General features: G+C 39.6%; 1 annotated feature.

Moving 5' to 3' along the window:
- Positions 632–926: a silencer, noted in NCBI's record as "tiled region #15711; HepG2 Repressive non-DNase unmatched - State 11:FaireW". NCBI's record gives its function as "represses a minimal TATA promoter and a strong SV40 promoter by Sharpr-MPRA in HepG2 cells {active_cell/tissue: HepG2}" and the evidence as "EXISTENCE:reporter gene assay evidence [ECO:0000049][PMID:27701403]".

The following is a 1337-nucleotide window of genomic DNA, read 5'->3' on the forward strand; positions in this document are numbered from 1 at the left end:
CAGTTCCATCCATGTGTCTGCAAAAGTTATGATTCTATTTTTTGTGCCTGAATAGTATTTCATTTTGTATATTTTCTACATTTTCTTTCTCCAGTCATTTGTTGATGGACATTTAGGTTGATTTTATATCTGTGCTACTGTGAATAGTGTTGCAACAAATATATAAGTACAGTTATCTTTCTGATATACTGATTTCTTTTCCTTTGCATAGATACCCAGTGGTGGGATTGCTGAATCAGACAGAGCCAATAGACGATCAGTAATGGTGGCCAATCATCAGCTAGAAACAAAGTATTTAGCAGTGCTTGAAAACACCAAAACTCTGAGACCACTGACCTTCCAAAACTTCAACAGCCCTGAGTGAAAAGTCCAAACACATTTATCCACCATTCAAAGACCCTTTATTTTCTGTCCTCTGTGCATCTCAGTAGTCTCTTTTTACCACACTGTCTATATACTGCATGAGCCATTTACGTGAAACTATCTGACACTCCAAGGCATCTTATACTATATATTCAACCATGTATCCCTAGTACCTAGCACAGTCCTGGCATATAGTTTGCTACTAAACATTTGCAGAATGAAGGAATTATCTTGTATCCAGGTTCAAGTTTTAAGTTGATTCTTCACTAAACAAAGTATTACAGTTCACAAATAATCTACTTCCTTTTTTACAAATGGGATCGATCTTAATCTTATCCCCTAATAACATTACTTTCATTTACTCCCATCTAAATATACTGTCCTAAGAGAGCAATAAGAAAGAGAGTTGAAGCTGGAGCTTGAAGAATTGTACATGGTCCTGTGATAACCTACCTTGTTTTAACCTGAGTGACTGTCTCCTAGCAGAGAGCTGGACAGACTCCATTTTAGTTTCTTCATGTGCAGCCCCCTTTACCTCCCTCCCTTAAGGACATAACTAGTGTAAACTGACTCAAAGCATGTCCAGGAATCACTTACTGTTAAGATATTGAGGCAAGCTGCGCCAGCAGCTCCTGGGGATGCGCTCGGTGAATGGCACCCAAAACCCCTGCATTTCTCTCTTTGTGATAGTTTAAGCCCCTGCACCTGGAACTGTTTATTTTTTTGCAACTGCTTTTGTAACCAATTAATTTTTTAACTTTTTGCCAGCTCTGCTTCTGTAAAAATTGCTTCAGCCAAACTCCCCCCTCCCCTATTTAGACCACGGTATAAAACCAAAACCAACCCCTTCCTCGGGGCCGAGAGAATTTTGAGCGTTAGCTGCCTCTCGGTCACCAGCTAATAGAGGATTCCTTAATTTGTCTCAAAGTGTGGCATTTCTCTATAACTCGCTGGGTTACAACAGTCCACACTGT

Source organism: Homo sapiens, chromosome 3 (genome assembly GCF_000001405.40).
Source record: "Homo sapiens chromosome 3, GRCh38.p14 Primary Assembly".
NCBI lineage: Eukaryota > Metazoa > Chordata > Mammalia > Primates > Hominidae > Homo > Homo sapiens.